Source organism: Homo sapiens, chromosome 7 (assembly GCF_000001405.40).
Source record: "Homo sapiens chromosome 7, GRCh38.p14 Primary Assembly".
Classification (NCBI taxonomy): domain Eukaryota; kingdom Metazoa; phylum Chordata; class Mammalia; order Primates; family Hominidae; genus Homo; species Homo sapiens.
In genome coordinates this window covers 134,649,743-134,669,889 of record NC_000007.14, presented here as the reverse complement: position 1 = coordinate 134,669,889, position 20,147 = coordinate 134,649,743, and the positions used below count along the sequence as shown (strand labels likewise).

The following is a 20,147-nucleotide window of genomic DNA, read 5'->3' as shown; positions in this document are numbered from 1 at the left end:
GGCCCTGCTTTTTAACCTGGACTTATTAGCATAATAATGGTACTTCTAAAAGCCAGTAAAGCAGTCCCTTAAGTAGGCATTTTTTTACTATATAATATTCTGTATGTCTTGTTTTGACTTCTTCCGAAAGCATTAACTATCATCAGATTAAAAGTAAAGCAATCTCAAAAGCATATATGATTTATGAGCAGAGATATTATATAAATAAGTCATTTGACAGGGGAGAGGTCATCCCCATCAGCCAGGAAGCCTGTCTTAGGCACTGACATGTGGTTTCAGTGTTTGCAATTCTTATACAAGAGTGTTATCTAGCTCCGAATCAGTATCACTTGCCTCTCAGTGTACCATTCATCTGCGCTGACTCCAGGAGGTCCTTGTTGACCCGCTCCTAGACTAGGTTGTTACAAGAGAAAAAGGAGGGGATGGAAGGCCCAATTAAGGCTAAAGAAATTGATGATAATAAGCAGAGATAGTCTGGGATAAAAAAATAAAAAAATAAAAAAAACCTTTATTAGAGGAGCTTTCAACCTATAACATTAGCAAGATTCTCAAACATAACTTCTCATGAAGAAGGACTTTAAAAGGCAGTTCCCTATAATGACCATGGTTTAGGTGCTAAAGTCAGAACCAGATGGCTCCTGAAGCCTTGAGAAAGCATAACAAATGCCCTCCAGGTTAGTTTTCAAAGGCACAGATAGGTGCATATAGCAAACCTTCAACCCTTCACTTAATTCTCCTAATTGACTAATGTAGTCTATTACCTTTGTGAACAAAAGGTAAGGTCCCAATTAAGGCAATGGTGAGTTCACTGGATAAAGCAAGTCTTTTTTCAGGTATAATTTACATATAGCAAAAGTCACCCTTTTTAGCATACAGTTCTATGAGTTTTGACAACTGCATACAGTAGTGTAATAACCAATCAGGATATAAAACAGCTCTATCAACCCCTTAAAATTTCCTTGTGCCCCCAGCAGCCTACTCTTACCCCACCAATCTGTTATTTCCCGATAGTTCTATATTTTCCCAAATGGCACATAAATGGAATCATACAATACACAGCTTTTTTAGCCCAATTTCTTTCACTTGGCAAAATGCAGCTGAGGTTCATCCATGATGATGGGTGTATCAATAGTTTGCTTCTTTTTACTAAAGCAGTTTCTTTAAGCAAAACAGCTTAGTGATCAATGATTGATCAAATGAAATAAAAAATATGACCAGGATATACTAAACAGCAAAGTAAAACGCAGTATTGAACCATAGCTTTCCAGTGAGTTCAGAGCCATGTTCTAGTTCCTACATAAAACAACATGTGTACGTAAAATGCCTAAAACTGTGCTTGGCATGCAGTATGCACTGAATAAAGGTCATCCCGTATAGCTATGCTAGAGTGTGCCATTCAGACCACAATGTTATAACAGCAGTAATAATTTAAGACTCAATTAGTTGCATTAAATTACCTTTTTATAGTTTACCTGCCATGGATGTTCTTGACTCAGCTTCTTAAAACACAGTATTCCAAACAAAGAATAGGTCAAGGGAAAGGCTACCTTTTAGAAAAAAGTTTTAAAGCCCAGGTGATAACTGTGTGTGGAGCCTCAGTGAACTGAGTTTTGAGTAGAGTTCTTGATGCCAACTAATTACCATGATCACGGCCAAGGAATCTAGAGTCTCTTTAGATTTCAGTTTCCTCCAACAGCACCTGTCTTCTTTTCCACAAATGGAGAAAGCATCAGTCAGGATATGACTGCCTACAGTGTCATAATATCAAATATCTGAGAAACAACTAACATCTTCAGAACCAACACTCTTTACTGTTGAGGTATATGGATGACACCTCTAAGACTAGACCTAAGAGGAGATGAGTAATACTAGCATACTCTTAGTAGAAAGATCTTAAAGCAATTTGAGATTTCAGCATAGACCAATATTCTAATTAGTTATTTAACTGGGGTCATGATTCTTCCCACCCTAGTTTTCAAACAATAAGAAAGTATTTTTCTGATAGGACAGTATGCTGTCATTGATGCTATCCGTTACCACACTCCGCCCCAGTAGGTAAAACTTTTTTAGCTTGTCAAGCAGTTTAGAGACAAAATAGGGAAAAATTACTCCAGTCCCTTGAAAGAGCCCATTTTATATGGGAGAAGTTTACATAAACATCTCTAGAAAGCACGGCTTGGAACCAGATGAATCTGCAGCCACAAGTGTTTTTACTTTTATAATAAATGCAAAGAAATTTAGCAACTTTTGTGCTTACAGGAAATATAAAACCCTGGTTATGCCCATTTCTAGATTCAATTCTTAACAGTAGTGAAAGCTAACGTCTTCATTTTTACGTTTTTATTTTTCTAAAATGGGGTCTCACTATGTTGTCCAGGCTGATCTCAAGCCTAGGCACAAGCAATCCTCCTGCCTCCGCTTCCCTAGTAGTTGAGACTACAGGTGCGTGACCCCACACCCAGCTCAATATTTTTATAGTGAGGTAACCACATAATTTATCATCCAGACTGGGGCACTTTTGAAAGTAAAAGGAGATGCTATTAATAATTACATTCGGACAACAGGCATTAACCACAAAATGGGCATGTATGATCATGTAACTTGATAGTAAGCATAAATTGGCAATTAAGATGGTAACTTATATTTTGTACCACCATAAACACATACACATGAACTGGCAAAGCAGTCCTTCCTATAAAAGAAAACCTTTATTTCCCCCCTAAACAGTAGGGGAGATTCACTTAATTTTTTGAGTCTTGAAAAGTTAGCATCTAAATCCAATGAAATGCTTTCTTTTAGGTTGGTAAGTTACCAAGAAGCACACAAACCCTGTAACTTGAGCTGTGGAAAGTTAGACATGCAATACAAGAGGACTAACATTAGATTAACATGCCTATTCTGGTGAGTGAATACATCTACAATCAATTTTGAAAGGGCTAAAATCTCACTAAATTAACAGAAATGATGTGAAAAAAATATGATGACATACTATGTCTTCTGATCTTGAGAAAGTCACTTATGCTTAATTCTTGCAGTTGTGAAAAAGAATACTTGGGACCTTATTTTTCAATAGACACTGTAAGAGAAACTTTACTAACACAGATTGACATTTAGAGACAATAACTTATGCAGTGATCCTGAAATCCAATCCAGCCTATTTCATGCACATGACATAATTTCTTCCATGTTAGGTGTGGGAGTTAAGTCACAGTAGAGAACTACAGCAACATCTAAGAACTCCATTAGTGTTAATTGGAGTACCACCAGGAGGTACTATAGGCCAAAAAGGAACAAAGTCATCATATCCAGAATGGGTGAGAATCAAGATTACAAACCATCCTTCTATTTTCCTGTGGACAAATCCGGATCCTCACATCCATTCCATTAGTTTTCTAGGCTATGGTCTTATCCTAACTGCATGTTCTGGCTTTTCTGCCATTTTTTCCCTCTATCTGCCATCCTCCTTGGTCATCAACCCCATCATTTTTATTCTCTACCTCTCTCATAGATACCTCCCTCTCTGGCAGCCCATGTCTTTTTCTGTGTTCACATACTTCCTACTGAAGTCATTTCCTACAATTTACTTCTTTCTACACCAACCCCACTGTTTTACATCAATTATCCCCCAAATAAAAACATTTTCTATAAAGCCTGTTTATGGTAATAGGGATAGGAGTTATAATGTAAGGCTACTTTAAAATGTCATTAATGGCCAGGTGCGCAGTGGCTCATGCCGTAATCCCAGACTTTGGGAGGTTGAGGTGGGTAGATCGCTTGAGGCCAGGAGTTCGAGACCTGCCTGGCAAACGTGGCAAAACCCCATCTCTACTAAAAAATTACAAAAATTAGCCAGGTGTGGTGGTACACACCTATAATCCTAGCTACTCAGAAGGCTGAGGCATGAGAATCGCTTGAACTCAGGAGGCGAAGGTTGCAGTGGGCCAAGATCGAACCACTGCATTCCAGCCTGGGCAACACAGCGAGACTTTGTCTAAAAAAGAAAAGAAAAGAAAAGAAAAGAAAATGTCATTAATCTCTAAAAGAAAAGAAAAGGTCATTCAGTTTCATACTTCCAACTTAAAAAAATAAAAATAAAAAATAAAATAAAATAAAAAGCCCTTTAGATGAAGGACTGGAAGCTGCCTGAAGACCAATGCCTGCTTATTTCCCAATGAGCCCTGTAAGTCCACTTCTGCCCCAGTGGTCAAAGCTGCACTTTTTTTTTTTTTTTTTTTTTTTTCATTAATTTTTATTTTATTTTATTTTATTTTTTTTATTATACTCTAAGTTTTAGGGTACATGTGCACATTGTGCAGGTTAGTTACATATGTATACATGTGCCATGCTGGTGCGCTGCACCCACTAATGTGTCATCTAGCATTAGGTATATCTCCCAATACTATCCCTCCCCCCTCCCCCAACCCCACCACAGTCCCCAGAGTGTGATATTCCCCTTCCTGTGTCCATGTGATCTCATTGTTCAATTCCCACCTATGAGTGAGAATATGCGGTGTTTGTTTTTTTGTTCTTGCGATAGTTTACTGAGAATGATGGTTTCCAATTTCATCCATGTCCCTACAAAGGATATGAACTCATCATTTTTTATGGCTGCATAGTATTCCATGGTGTATATGTGCACTTTGATTTTCCCCAGTATTCTACACTCCACAGCCATGCATTTCAGTTTTGTTATCACTTCCGTATGTTTGCCACCCCCCACTGTTTTCTAGGCCAATGACAAATCCTTTAACCTTTCAATTCCATTGATTATTTTTCCAGCTTTAATGAGATATAATTCACATACAATTCACCCACACAAAGTGTACAACTCAATGGCTCTTAGCATATTCAGAGTTGTGCAACCCTCACTACAATCAATTTTAGAATATTTTTATCACCCCAACAAGAAACTCTGTACCCATCAGCAAATCACTTGCAAAATCTTCCATCCTCCCTACCCTCTAGGCAACAACCACTCTACCTTCTGTTTCTAAAGATTTGCCTATTCTGGGTATTTCATATAAATGAAATCCTCTAATATGTGATCCCTTGTGGCTGGCTTCTTTCACATAACAGAGTTATTTCAATGTTCACCCATATGGTAGCATGTATCAGCATCACCTTCCCTTTCATTGCCAAATAATATTCCATTGTATAGATAGACCCCATTTATAAGTTGATGAACACTTGGGTTGTTTCCATCTTTTGTCTATTGTGAATAATGCTGCTCTGCAGGTTTAGGTACAAGTTGTTGTGTGGACATGTGCTTTCATTCCTCTTGGGCATTGTGATGGTTTGAACTGTGATCCCCTCAAAAAGACAGGCTGAAGTCCCAAACTCCTCATAATGTGACCCTATTTGGAAATACAGTGTTTAACAGAGAATAATCCCATTAAAATGGAGGTCACTGGTGGGAGGCGGCAGGCTAATATTATTGGTGGCCTTATAAAAGGGGAAATGTGGATAAGAAACACACACACAAGGAGAATGCCAAGGAGTGATGCTTCTGCAAGCCACAGAACATCAAAGATTGCCGACAAACACCGAAGCTAGCCAAGGCAAGGAAGAATTGTCTCCTAGAGTCATCAGAGAGAGCACAGCCCTGCTCACACCTTGATTTGGGACTTCCAGCCCCTAGAAAACACATTTCTGTTGTTTTAACCCACCCAGTTTGGTTGTTTTCTTACGGCAGCACTGGGAAGCTAATATAGCTATATGGGTAGGCGTGGGATTGCTGGATCATATGGTAACTCTATGTTTAGCCCTTCTGAGGAACTGCCAGATTGTTTTCCAAAGCAGGTACACCATTTGATTAAATTAATTAAATAAATTGCTAATAGTTTCAAAGCCTCCCTCAAATGTAGAAAAGTAAGTTTTGCTATGTCTAAACACAACCTCTACATGTAATTCTCTCTTTGCCCCCACCATGGTTATAGTCTTCTTTACCATCATTTGTTAAACTTTCCGATTTCCCTCAAAAAGAACAGTAAAAAATAGTTAAATCATCAATGCACTAGCAGGAGGGGATGTGTACAATGAGCTGTGGTTGGGCTGTAGAATCGTTTTAAAGAGATCTATAATAAATTTGAAGATAGGTGAAGAGTCAATGGTATTAAACAGTAGGAAACTTTTTTAAAAGGGGGACTTCCAAGCTAAGAAGGTGGAGAAAGATGATCCTAAAGGAGATAGTGGTGTTTTCTTGAGAGAAGGGAGCCTGGCCACAATAAATCTGAGACCCAGCTCTGAAAAAGGAGTTGGCACGGTTGAATAGAATACACCTCTGGCAGAAACTCTGAAATTCTGAATTTCAGTTTGTTGTTGTCTAGTAGAAGCCTCAACTCTTCTTCAAACAATAAAATACTATGGTCCATTAATGATGAAGTTATATATCACTAATAATGAAGTTAAAGATCTAATTATTCTGAACAAGAATAGAACCTTTTATATAGTTGAGTAAATAAGATACACATGTGCCCACGCACATGCGCACGTGCACACACACAAACACACACACACACACATATCAAGTGCCATGTCTAGCCAATAAAATTTTAGTATCTAATAGTCTGTAGATTTTAGGTCTCTGCATGACTAATGGATGTCAGCTATACAAGTAATGATTTAGTTCTTGGTCATGTTATAAAAATTAGGGGAAAATAATCACATGCTAAAGATTACTTCATTTTTAACTAATAATCTATTTCTACTTATTTCACATACAAGGTCAGCCTTTTTATTTGTCACAGCCTCTTATAGAAAATTAAAGCAGAATGAAAACGAATGGTGGAGAAATTTCTTCTATTTATTACCAGTAAGCTAACTGCTGACAGTGATGAAAGGCAGGAAAACACCAGACAGGGCATATCACGCAAAAAGCACAACCATCTGGGATGAGTGGAGGCAGAGAGGGAAACGAGAAATCCACAGAACAGTGAGAAATCCAGAAGGTGTCACAGTGCAATCACTGATGCTCAAAACCGGTGAACCTGAATCCTCAAGAGTTCATTTGGTTCATGTTACTTAAAAAGGTAACAATACAGTATGTTTTAGTATACATGTAGAACATGACATAAAGTAGTTAAAATTATGGCTGCTGCTGATTTCCAAATTTTTAGAGTCAAGATAAATAAACCAACTATCCTTTTAGTTTCCTTCCCCCTAACTTTCTTCCAGTCAATGACTAAGCCTGTTCTGAAAAGAAGTTTGAAACAAAAGAACTGCTCAGGAAACCTACGTCTAGGAACAGCAATCATTGTTTAAAGTTGGAAGAACGTGAGCAAAACTGAAGTCTAGATAATTTACTTGACTTGAAAAACTCTAATTTACTTTCAAGGCCATTTCAACAATTCCTTCCTTTCCTAGCTTCCTTTCATTTCACTACAACAAGCCATACAGTCCTTTAGACTAGTGCTTCTCAAAGTGTGGAACCCCAATCAGCAGTATCAGCATCACCTAAAACTTCTAAGAAATGCAGATTCTCAGGGTGCGCCCCAGACCTACTGATTCCGAAACTCTGAGGGTGGGACCCACAATCTGTGATACACCAACCTCTCCAGGTGACTCTGATGCTTGCTAAAGTCTGAAAACTGCTGCTTCGGGTAACAGGAACAGAAAACACACAAGAGATCTGATTTATAGAACAAGACAATTCTTAAATCTGAAGTGACAAAGGGGGATAGAGGAGTCTATTGTGTAAATAGGGCCTCATTAGCTTAATTTCTAGATTAAGGCCTAGATATCACACTTGGCAACCTCTAATAAGTGGTATATAAAGCTGGTACCTTCCAGGTGTTTTAGGAGTGCCCTACTGCTATTTCCATGAGCAGATATCAGAATGGTTTTGCCACGTAATACTTCGGGAGCAATCCTTTCATTCCAATAGGGAAGGAGTCTCTCCAGAACATCCTTTAAGCTTTCCGACCGTGGCAGTTGATCCAAGGGCACATCGCATACTTTATACCTCCGGTCGTTGTAGATTTCTTGGTAGTAAGGATGAGACTCCTCAATGGGAGGCGGGGTTACATTGTAGCTTCTTCTCCAGAGCCTCACTTGTTCTTCACCATGATTCAAAGCCATCTGCTCCCTGTTGAGACCGATCAAGGCCCCATAGTGACGCTCATTTAGACGCCAGGAGCTTTCCACAGGCACCCATTCCTGGCCTAGCTCTTCCAGGATCAGCCAGGCTGTGTGAATGGACCGATTAAGGACAGATGTGAATACAAGATCAAACTCAAAGTTTAACGCTTTGAGTTGCTTCCCACAGTTCCGAGCTTCCTCCATTCCTTCGCTGTTGAGTTTCTGATCCACCCAGCTACAAAAACGGTTCTCCTTATTCCAAGCACCCTCTCCATGTCTTAACATAATAAGTTTGTACTTGGACATACTGATGGCTGAACTTCCCAGGCGTTTTCAAATGGGCTAATATTCAAGGACAGCAATACATCTAGAAAGACAAGAACAACAAGTCTAAGTTATATTCAACTGACAATCTAGGAATAGAAACATCGCTTTACAACACCCAATTTCTAAAAGAAACTGAAATCCCTTTGAACAGTCAGAAATGTGATAACTCATACACTGTGACACATACAGGCATATTCTATAGATATTAATAATTCATTACAGGGAATCTAGTTGACTTAAATTTTCTGATGTTTGGATAGCATGTTAATTGCATGACATAAAATAACAAAACACTTCATTCTAATGGCATGCTGTGTTTCTGCCAGATACAAAGGCAATTTATGCTTACAGTAGAAAGGATTTAATAGAATGAGTTACAGACGTCTGAAAGAATGACTAGTGGCTGGGAACTCCCAGCTCCCAGCAGCTGACTCTACACTGAAGGCATCCTTTTCACTTTGTTTTCCTGTGGTGGAAAAAGAAGTATTTACCAGTCTCACATTCTTATTATAGAAGTTATTAAACATGTTATTTCAATGCACCACTGCATATATCTGATATGTATCACTGGCTGGTGGCAACTAGCTCTTCAATGCCACAGGCTACAACACACAAGAAAATCTAAGGTATGCAAAACACATCAGTTCAACATTCAGACAAATTAAAAGTGCTTTAAAGAGACATTAACACCAAATATGGTACGTACCTAAATAATCTTGCACCTACCTCAAGATAGAGTTTTCAGCAGGAATAAATCCAGATGCAAAATAAGCTATCAAATGCAAGCAGCTGAGGGATGCTGCCTGTACAAACAGATCTGGTAGGCAGGAGTGAGAGGAACCACACTGATAAAGAGGCCCCACCTCCTCCTCCCCAGCCCTCCAGATATCCTACACACACCAGCTACGTCTTAGCAGGGGGAGAATCTAGTAAAGGGAGACCAGCAACTCTCAAGCTATGCTGAACTCCTTACATTTAAGCTGCTGGCCTGAAGATCTGCTGGGCCCACTCCATCCTCGGAGAATCTGCTGACATGGCTGCTCAGCCCGCCTCTCTCTCTCCTTGTGGTGGACACATCTGCACTGACACATGCTTGGTTTACACGCCCGGCCTCTCCATCTCTCCTCCAGTGTTTTGCACACTGGGTTGTAAAGATTATACGAGCACTACAGCCTGGTCTTCTGCCACTCTTGGCAACTTCCATTAACTGGAGATTTTCTCTCCCACTTAAACTGTGAGTCACCCACAGTAAAATAACAATCAATGGCAAAATTGATTGGAATCTAGATCTAGTTTCTACCTTTCTTTAGTAATTCCTAGAGATTCTGAAGGGAAAACAGTCTTTAAAATAAGGCTTTATATTTCAATGGAAGGCAAACAGAGGACTTAAGGAAAGAAATCAAATTGAGGTGATTTGCAAGTATCGTCATGTGTTGCTTAATGAAGGGAATATGTCCTGGCAAATGCATCATTAGGTGATTTTGTCGTGCAAACAACATAGAATGTACTTACACAAACCTAGATGGTATACATATTGTTACTTATGTTTTTTCATATGGAAAGCCAAGTATCCCAGCACAATTACTGAATATCAGTCATTTCCCCTACTCGATCTGCAATGCCAATGTCAAGTGCCACATATCAGATGTCTATATATGCTCCATTACCATCTTACAGGGCCACCATCATTTACACGATCCATGCTTGACTGAAACATCATTAGGTGGTGCATGACTGAAGTTGAAAGGCTACAGCAGTTAGGATGATGATTTTCCTTTCTTGTTAAGTACCAGGTTGCTGTGCATGTGCAGCAGGGAAGTGCCAGGGAACCAGAAGAGCCTGGGCTCAGGACCCAGATTAAAGCATCCCACAGAGCTGAGAATTCCCAAGGAGGAAGCCCAATGTCTCTGTCCTTAGCCTAGAAGAGGCATCAGGGTGGCAGAACAGAGAAGGGAACAAAAGGTATCTAGGCAGTGTTTTGCCAGATGACTGCCTGTGCCCAGGGGCAGAATAGTCATGAATCTAACAAAGTTCAAGCTTCAGAGCCCCTCACCTGTGAGAAACCAGGTGATGAACACACACACACACACACACACACACACACACACACACACGGAGGGGTGTGTGTAAGTGTGTTAATTTGCAAATGGAAGATATTTTTGCAGTGTTTCTTTACAAAGCCCCAATCCACCAAGTAGTAGAAGCCTCAGCTCCATCAAAAACTGTATCTACCCTTTGTAACCATTGATCATTTTGTTTTGTTATTGGTAGTGGAGGAGGGGGATGGAGAAAAAAGAAGCTATCAACTGTTCCTCTACCTTCACCCTCAGTTTATCTTGTCAAGTGAGAAACCTCCATAAGCTAATGAAGCCATTCTCTCTTCAGTTAAAGAAGGGCATGGTTAGACAAATTTTGTAGACAGAAGCACCTTTCCACCATCTTTTGATTATAAACTATATCAAGGGGACAAAACAATGTAGTAATAGCAACATGGACACTCAGGCACCCACCACCAAGCTTTGTGGTATCTTATTCTCCTATATTTGCTTACTGCATTAAAACAAAGTTCTGTTTTCTTTTTACTAAAAAAAAAATACACACACACACACACCAGAACAGAGGAACAGTACTGCAGTCACAAAAACTATGCAAATATGCATCCTTCCCTCACTCTGAAGCACAGGAATACATTTACGCAGGTGAATACATGATAAAGTACTAAACTAGTATGTCTATCTCAAGAAAACAAAAGGTCACTTTCCTCTCTCCTCCCTAGTACTATCAACGGACTTTTCCCACTTAACTGCTGGATACTTACAAAGAAACTGCTGAGGATTAGCTTGCAAACATAGAAACTTCAGTCAACATCCACAGGAGCTGATTTACCCAGTGTTTACCAAGAAACACACAACGCTGTAGCCAGTGTGATTTAAAGTTTAAGGCATGGATTGCAAACTCAAATGCCTGCAATGGGCAGGCAGCTGTGTGAAGCAGAGTGCAGCTGGACTATGCAGAGTGATGGGCACAGTGACCTGCAAGGACCATGCATGCTTCTTTGAAGGAGGCAACTCTTGTGTAAACAGAAAGTTTTCCGATAACCTCATCTCACTGAGCCAACAGCACTGTTCTTAGAACTTTTCTGGAAAACAAAAAGAAGATGGGATTGCTGACATCGAAGACTAGGATGAATGCAAGACTTAGAGTCAGACCACAGAGAAACTTTGAGTAAATAAATGTCTTTTTTAAAAAAGCTAAAACAATCATTTCAAAACCTCCTAAAAATTCATGTAAAAAATCAAAGGAGTACCTACTACTTAGCTCCAGCCCATTGCCCTGTGATACTGAGCAACTGAGGTTTCTAGATCTTCCAATTAAAAAAAAAATGAAAACGTGTATTTTTATCTGATATCTGATTTAAATATTAGCAACTAATGTATATTTGTAAAATGTGAGTGAAACAAAACATTTCTTCTGCAGGCTAGATCGTGGCTGCTAGCTTATGACCTCTGACTTAAAGGGAAACCTCCCCTAGGCCACAGATAAATGGTACAGCCACTATACCCCAGGAGACGGTCAGAACCCAAGCGTCTGGACCACTTAACCAGCTTTCCTGTTATTGCCCAACACAGCCTTTCAAAGGACAGACCCTCTAATCCCCATAATGCTCTGGGCTTCCTTCTCCCTGACCCACCTTTACAGCCCTCCCTCACCAAACCATTTGCTGGTGCCCTGCAGAATTCCTAGCTCTGTCCTCAAACTCCCACTCAGCTTTGAGTGTCAATTGCACTGAAAAAGATCTGAACTGAAAACGACCTCTTCCCAGGTGACACTGCTTCTCTCTCTAGTGGGGGGTGCTCATGCCTCATACCCTAGGGTTAGGTTCAGGTGATGGGCAGCGTCCTGCTTCCTCCACTGACCAAATCGCCCCTCCCCCACCATCCTAGGGAGTTGGGGAGCTTCAATGTTGAAAGTCTTGCTATATTCAGTTGAAGTTCTCTTGCCCTCATTTATTAACTGCAAACTAACAATTAAACTCCTTGAAAATTGAGTATCTTATTTTAAAACCTCAATTCTTCCTACTGGTCTTAGAAAATGTTCAGAATCCTTCATGTGACCTGCAAGGCTTTCGTTTTATTTCCTTGAGCATGTCAGGTTCTTTCTTGCCTCAGTAGTTTTGCACACACTGTACCCTATGCAGAACACTCACCCTTCATCTCTTCTCTCCATTGCCACTTCAGTCTCACCCTGCTTTAGGTTAAGCTCTAGTCATCCTTTAGATCAGTTGTGTCCAATCAAGATATAATGCGAGGCACAATGAAGTTTTAAATTTTCTACAAGCCACATGAATCCTATAGGTCCAAAAGCTATCATTCAGACATGGAGTCAAAGGAGATCATTTTGGAACTTTAAGGTGTAACAACTGCTCTATTGGATTTTGGACTTGCATGGGGCCTGCTGTAGCCCCTTTGTTTTGGCCAATTTCTCCCATTTGGAACAGGTATATTTACCCAATGCCTGTAGCCCCACTGTATCTAGGAAGTAACTAACTTGCTTTCAATTTTCTAGGCTCATAGGCAGAGAGGGCTTGCCTCGTCTCAGATGAGACTTTGGATTTGGACTTTTGGGTTGATGCTGAAATGAGCTAAGACTTTGGGCGACTGTTGGAAAGGGCATGATTATGTTTTGAAATGAGAGGACATGAGATTTGGGAGGGGCCAAGACCAAATTTCATCTTGAATTGTAGTTCCCATAATCCCCATGTGTCATGGGAGGGACCCAGTGGGAGGTAATTGATTCATGGGGACAGTTACCCTCATGCTGTTCTTATGATAGAAAGTGAGTTCTCACGAGGTCTGATGGTTTTATAAGGAGCTTTGCCCCCACTTCACTTATACTTCTCCTTGCTGCCACCATGTGAAGAAGGACATGTTTGCTTCCCTTCCACCATGATTGTAAGTTTCCTGAGGCCTCTCCAGCCATGCTGAACTGTGAATCATTTAAACCTCTTTCCTTTATAAAATTACCCAGTCTCTGATATGTCTTTATTAGCAGCATGAGAACTAATACAATTCTAACACATGATCCATACAAAAATTATTAATAAGGCAATTTACATTCTTTTTTTTCACAGTATGTCTTTGGAATCTGGTGTGTACTTTATAATGAAAGCATATCTCAATGTGAACCAGCCACATTTCAAGTGCTCCATAGCCACATGTGACCAGTGGCTACCGCACTAGATCATGCAGCTTTAGAGCTCAGCTTAAATGTTAGTTCCTGTAGGCCAGTGGTTCTCAAACTTTAATGTATATCAAAATCAAATTAAACAGATTGCTTGGGCCCACTTCCAGAGCTTGATTTAGTAGGTCTGGGGTGGGACTGTGAATATGCATTTCTAGCAAGTCCTCAGGTGATGGTGACATGGCTGGTCCAAGGACCATGTTTTGAGAACCCCTGGCTTTAGACTTCCTCTTCACCCATTGGGAAGTAGGTCAGGCCTGCTGACCTACTCCTGTAGCATCCCGCTTAACCACATTTGGTGCACTTGCGATGGATCCCTTGAGATATATTACCTGTTCAATGGCTATGTGCCCTGTAAGACTGTAAGCTGCATCAAGGCAGGTCTTACTGCTGTATCTCTAGAACCTAGCACATCGCTTGGCACATATGAGGCACTCAGTAGGTGTACTGACTGAACCAAAGTCAGACAGAAATGACTGGATTGTACACATGAGACTAAGGCTTGAGAGTTTTAGTGGTAACTGCCACAGTAAAATCAGTTGGCAGGGCTAAGATGTTAGGAAACTTTAACTTAAGAATCTCAGGGTATTTATGTCAAAACAGGAGCCAAGAATAATTATCCATTATAGTTCTGTACTTTGTACTTTTGTACTATAAGTTTAGTATGTTCATGGATGGCCATAATCTCCACAGAAAAAAATGGAGATTCTGATTGACTTGTTCAAAAACATATGGCCAGTAAATGGCAAACTGGAACTGCAACCCTGGTCTTCTGCCTTCAACCCCCCACTGGAGATATTAGAGTCATGGTTTGAGGATCTTGGCTCACTTGGCTTCACTTCACAGGGGTATCTCCAGTTCCAACTTGTCCTTCCAAACCCAGGCAGCCATTTCATCAAACGCAAACGAACAAGGTGAACATGAAGGAGGGCTCACCTTATTAGTACTCTTGAGAAAAACCTCAAGGCACAAAGTAAGCCAGGCAATAGTCACCCCAACTTATAAAGAGGAACCTTACTAAGAATAAATACTCCCCATCCCAAATTAAAAACTATTCCTTTTCAACCTCAAGCTTTATTTTTTTTGTTTTGTTTTGTTTTTCATAAAAGCTCACCAACCTGTACCTGGTTTCTCATTTATCCCATAGCAAAAGTTACTGGCACTTAAGTACCGATTTTAATCAATAATTTACATCATGTCAAAAAAAGAACACATAGGTTATTGATTTATCCCCCAGGGTGTCTTCCTTTTTAAAGTGTGATCTGGCTTGAAGAAAAAGTTTACTAAGGAAACATCTTTTACACAGCTGTGTATCTTATCCTCCCTCCCCTTCCTCTTGTCCATTTACCTTCCCTTCTAGCCATTCCTTTTTTAGTTTCCTGACACCAAACTTGTGCCTTACCCACTCTACTGAAATGGTGCCTCAAAAGACTACAGGTTAGTTACTTCTTACTAAGTGGAGATCATCTTCTCTCATGACTTCTCTAAAACAGACTACTTCCATCAAGAAAAAAAACCCACTAAGATTTTGGTGTAGCATTTCCTCCAGCTCTTCCACGGTTACATCTTGGTCTTGGGTGTCTGCATTTTCTTACCTACCTGTAAGAGTACTATGAAGATGATCATATTAGTCACAGTAGCCAACATTCACAGAGTGCTCACCTGTGAATGTTAGTTCAATGTTACTTGGCACTGTTTGAATCCTCAACCACCATTCCATGGAGTGGCTACTATGATTACTCCCATTTCACAGATGAAGAAACAGGAGGAAAGGTTAACTTGCCTAAGGTAACAGAGGCTGTAAATGGCAGAGCTGGAATTTAGTCTCGAGAAGTCTGTATCTATGCCCTGAACCATTTTGCTACACTGTCACATTGAAACCTGAGGCTCAGTCTTCAGTTCTTGGAAACCCTTTTCTCACTGCTTTAATCACATTAAAATGGATGACTCATAAATTGAAAGCCCCAAATACTCAGTCGCCCTAGCCTGACCAATTAATTCATTCTTCAAACATTTTGCAGATCCCATTTAGGCATGGCCCAATGCTAGGCCTATGAGGAATATGTAATCCAACAAGAATTATGTCTTCATCTTCAGTACGTGTGTGTGTGTGTGTGTACCTAAAACTCAAAGTAATTCACACCATGAGAAAGCACTTCATTAGTAAAAGAGAGGTGGGATGGGAGAGAATATTTCTGAGTAAGGCTTCGTGGACACAGTATTTTTTAAGCTGGATTTGGAAAGGCAAGGTTTAGATTTACAGAAAAAAGTAAAGGAATTCCAATCTAGGGGAACAGTGAGTGAAGGCAAAGGAACAGGTACATATGGAAAATGGCGAGCCCATTCAAACTGGTTGGAGTATAGCTAGAGTAACCATACATCCTGATTTGCCTAATAGGCAAAAAATATTCTTTCCATAAATGCCACCATAAAATTGAAGTTATGGTTCAAGATTAGCATTCTTTTGGCAAGGTCAAGACAGAGAGGGTAGTTAGGAGAAAGAGGCACATGCATCATTATTACAGAACAGTATTGTCTTAGGCCTGTTTCCCCAACATAATTACTACTAGGGCCCCTTTCACACTTAAGTGTCCCATTTGGAAAATTATATGGCCACTGTAAGTATAGGGTATAATAAGGAAGCAGGAGAAGACTAGCCTAGAAAGATAAGAAAAAATAGTGACACAAAAAAAGCCTGTGCCAAAGCATGTAGGTTTTTCTATACATATTGGGACATCATTAAAAGTTTAGTAGCATGCATTTTAGCAGGATCAGGCAGCACTTACTTACAGAAATAGACAGGAAAACCCAGGAGTATGAACACTAGCTGAGAGGTTTTTGCAATAATTCTGGTAACACAGAATAAAGACTTGGACCAGGACAATGGCCGTTTAAGTGAGATGAAGGAGATAAACGTGAAAGACACTATAGCTTAGCTCAGATGTTAGCAACTTTTTCTGTAAACCACCAAATAGCAAATTTTTTAGGCTTTCTAGGCTATACTGGTCTCTGCCATAATTAGGTACAATTGTATAATTCTGCCATTGCAGCTGAAAGCCACCATACATAATATATAAGTGAATAAATCTGTTTCAATAAAACTTCAGGTATGGACACTGAAATTAGAATTTCATATAATTTTCATGCACATGAAATATTAATTTATTTCAACCGTTTTACATGTAAAACCCATGCATAGTTTGTGGGCTGTTCAAAAACAGGTAGTAGACATATGATCCAGCAAGCCCGCCACTGGGTATACATCCAAAAGAAAGCAAATAAGTATACTGAAGAGATACCTGCACTCCATGTTTGTTGCAGCACTATTCACAATAGCCAAGATATGGAAGCAATCTAAGTGCCCATCAACAGATGAACAGATAAAGAAAATTTGGCACATATATACAATGGAATATCATTCAACCATAAAAAGAACGAAACCCTGTCATTCACAACAACATGGATGGAACTGGAGAGCCTAAGGTTAGGTGAAATAAGTCAGGCATGGAAAGACAAATTTCACATGTTTTCACTCATATGTGGGAGCTAAAAATTTTGAAAATTGAATGTATTGCAATAGCAGAATTATGGTTGCCAGAGGCAGGGAAAGGTAACAGGAGCGAGGGGGTTAAAGTGAGGATGGTTAACAGGTACAAAACTATAGTTAGAATAAATAAGATCAGTATTCAGTAGCACAATAGGGTGATAATAATTTATTGCATTTTAAAATAACTAAAATAATGGAATTAGAATGTTCCCAACACACAAAAAATAAATGCATGAGGTAATAGACAAATGCATGAGGTAAATCAATTACTCTGATTTGATCATTACATATTGTATATCTGTACCAAAACATCACATATACCTATAAATATATACAACTATTATGCATCCATAATTTAAAATTAAAAATGTAAATTTTTTAAAAAACGGTATAGGCCAGAAGCCCTCAATATGCCGATATTGGCCTAGCTGGATCCCACACTTAGATCTACTAATGACATCAGCATTTTTAACCTTTAAGCATCCCGTCATAGAATAATCCCAACATTATGAAATCACTAGATTTTATTCTTGGCCAGAACGGCAAGTACCATGAGTAATGGAATCCCATTCATAATTGTTTTTATTCCTCACAGAAGGCAATACTGAAGACATTTAAATCAGTCTGAGTACTTGACTTTTGCTTAACTAAATTATTTAGGAATAGGTTCAAGATTGAACTATAGGGGAAAACTATAGGATTCATCCTGTTAATCTCCTTCAAAAATATCATCTGTCATTTTGACACACTTTACCCCATTAGACATCTTCATAAATTATCCCATAGTGCCTCACACTTCAGGGGAATGTATACTTGCTCAGGAGTAGGTGCTATGTAATTGCTTTGACAATAAACAAATCAAAGAACATACTTTGCAGGTGACTTATAACTTTCAAAGATCTTTCACTATAAATGTATAGAAATTCCATCTAAGTTAGCTATAAAGCAAAGAATATTCTTTCCATAATGCCACCATAAAATTGAAACATAAAATTATGATTCAAGATTAGCATTCTTTTTGGCAAGACAGGGACTGTAGATAGGGGAGTGATGTACTTGCAAGGCACTGCATTTACTAAGGTTACCCCTCTTAATATTTTTGAGATCCCTAAGTACTTTCAACAAATGTAGCATGATCATCTGCTGCTGCTTCCTACTCCTTCATTAAACTATATAATTCCACATATGAAATTATGTGAAATATAATTTCACATTATATTTCTCCCATAACTGAGGCTCCTCTGTTATAAGTACTCCCCATAACTGAGGCTCATCCTGTCTTCCAAACTGACACTCCTGGGACTTTGCTTCCTCCCTTCCTCACGTGTTTGAAAGTTAATAATGCCTAAGACCCTAGTGGTACAACTCACGGACAAATAGGACAAACTACAGGGTAAAGTCCAACTTAAAAACCTAGTTTTTCTTGTATTTCCAACGTTTAAGCAAGAAATTTGATCAGCAATATAATGTTGAAGTTATATAAAATAAGACAAATAGAACCAGAGTCACTTAGATTCAAAGCTCACATTTAAATATTAGTCAGTTGCTACCCTAGACACTCAGATGACGTTTTCCTTGGTCCAAACCCCTTATTGTGTGGCTTTGAGCAACTTTTAACCCCCACTGCAAGAGGAATCTAACTTTATAGAAGATGGGCTGGCTATTATTTGAGGACAGAGAAAAAGAACCATGTCTTTAACAAAGTAAAAAGGAACAGGTCTCAAGGGAAATGAAATCTGGGGCTCAGTTCCTTAAGGCTTTTAATGTTTCTTTTGAGACGCAGTCTCACTCTGTCGCCCAGGCTGGAGTGCAGTGGCGTGATCTCGGCTCGCTGCAAGCTCCGCCTCCCAGGTTCGTGCCATTGTCCTGCTTCAGCCTCCTGAGTAGCGGGGACCACAGGTGACCGTCACCACGCCCGGCTAATTTTTTTTGTTATCTTTAGTAGAGACAGGGTTTCACCATGTTAGCCAGGATGGTCTTGATCTCCTGACCTCGTGATCTGCCCGCCTCGGCCTCCCAAAGTGCTGGGATTACAGGCGTGAGCCACCGTGCTCGGCCAAGGCTTTTAATGTCTTAACAAACTATGCCTTCCCCCAAATCAAGTTCACTATTAGAAGTTCAAACACAACTGTACCTAAAAGTGTTCCATGGTCTATTACTTTTCCTAAGGCTTTGTAGAAACTTTTTCATCTGTACTTGCAGTTATAAGAACATCATTTTACAGGAGCAAATGTTACCACTTACAGGTGTTTTCCAGACACTAAAACCCTCTCATTCCCCAATCTTACATCTACTAATATTTCCTACTGATTGCTTGTTACAAGAATAACCAACCATACCAGGCAGATCCCTACTCATGGCGAAGAGATATACATATGTAATGAGATGTGCATTTGCTCAGGGCATGTTGCATGTTCCAGCCTGCATGGCATCACCACTGTGGACAACACCCACTCATGACGGACCCCTCCTTCCTATCTCTGGTCATTGTCTTCCCCAGGGTAGTAGCTTTTATCAACACAAACTGTGTCCACCAAATTCCAAAAGTCTAAAGTAAAAACAACCTAGATATGAGCCCAGCTCTGCTACTGACTGACAATGTGATCTTAACTTATTTAAATTCTTTGAACCTCAGGTTCCATATCTATAAAGATGAGGATCATGAAACTACTGTTCTCAGGGGGCTATCAGAAAGATTAAATGAGATTATGGTGAAGCACTCTACCAAAAAGTGAGAGGTAGAATGGAGCAGACTTTGACTAACTCATAAATAATGGCACAGATCTCAGGCCCGTCAAAGCAATCCTACCTTGCCGATGATATGAGCAGAAGCGAAAGCTGGGAATAAAGTAAAATGAAGGGAGGAATTAGAGGAGAAATGCTTAAATTAGGTGGTAGAAGGAGGAATGCAATCAAATATTGTGGGATGGAAGAAGGTGATGGTAAGATACAGTCT

The 20,147-nt window shown here is 39.7% G+C and overlaps 1 protein-coding gene and 1 long non-coding RNA gene across 9 annotated transcripts in view, besides 1 other annotated feature; one reads left to right on the top strand and one right to left on the bottom strand.

The window, feature by feature from the left end:
- Positions 1–20,147, top strand: part of LOC124901750 (uncharacterized) — a 224,798-nt gene that overhangs the window by 173,995 nt on the left and 30,656 nt on the right. The window contains exons 2-3 of one of the 4 annotated variants that reach the window (XR_007060536.1): positions 2,800–2,901; positions 11,180–11,796. The exons of 1 other annotated variant lie outside the window; for it this stretch is intronic. This is a non-coding gene — a long non-coding RNA (uncharacterized LOC124901750). Of the gene's footprint in view, positions 1–2,799; positions 2,902–8,754; positions 8,836–11,179; positions 11,797–20,147 lie in introns of those variants that run through there. 2 more of the 4 variants (XR_007060535.1, XR_007060538.1) reach the window with 2 other exon arrangements.
- The window catches only part of BPGM (bisphosphoglycerate mutase), a 32,964-nt gene that overhangs the window by 9,927 nt on the left and 2,890 nt on the right, over positions 1–20,147 (bottom strand). For 2 of the 5 annotated variants that reach the window (NM_199186.3, XM_047420761.1), the window contains exons 2-3: positions 11,222–11,542; positions 7,782–8,443 (exon numbers count right to left, since the gene is read on the bottom strand). In NM_199186.3, the coding sequence (NP_954655.1) occupies positions 7,782–8,382 (601 nt within the window). In that variant the 5' untranslated portion in view covers positions 8,383–8,443; positions 11,222–11,542. Of the gene's footprint in view, positions 1–7,781; positions 8,444–9,129; positions 9,226–11,221; positions 11,543–20,147 lie in introns of those variants that run through there. The other 3 variants (NM_001293085.2, NM_001724.5, XM_011516527.3) reach the window with 2 other exon arrangements.
- Positions 19,399–19,693: a silencer, noted in NCBI's record as "tiled region #13526; K562 Repressive DNase matched - State 14:Gen5'". NCBI's record gives its function as "represses a minimal TATA promoter and a strong SV40 promoter by Sharpr-MPRA in K562 cells {active_cell/tissue: K562}" and the evidence as "EXISTENCE:reporter gene assay evidence [ECO:0000049][PMID:27701403]".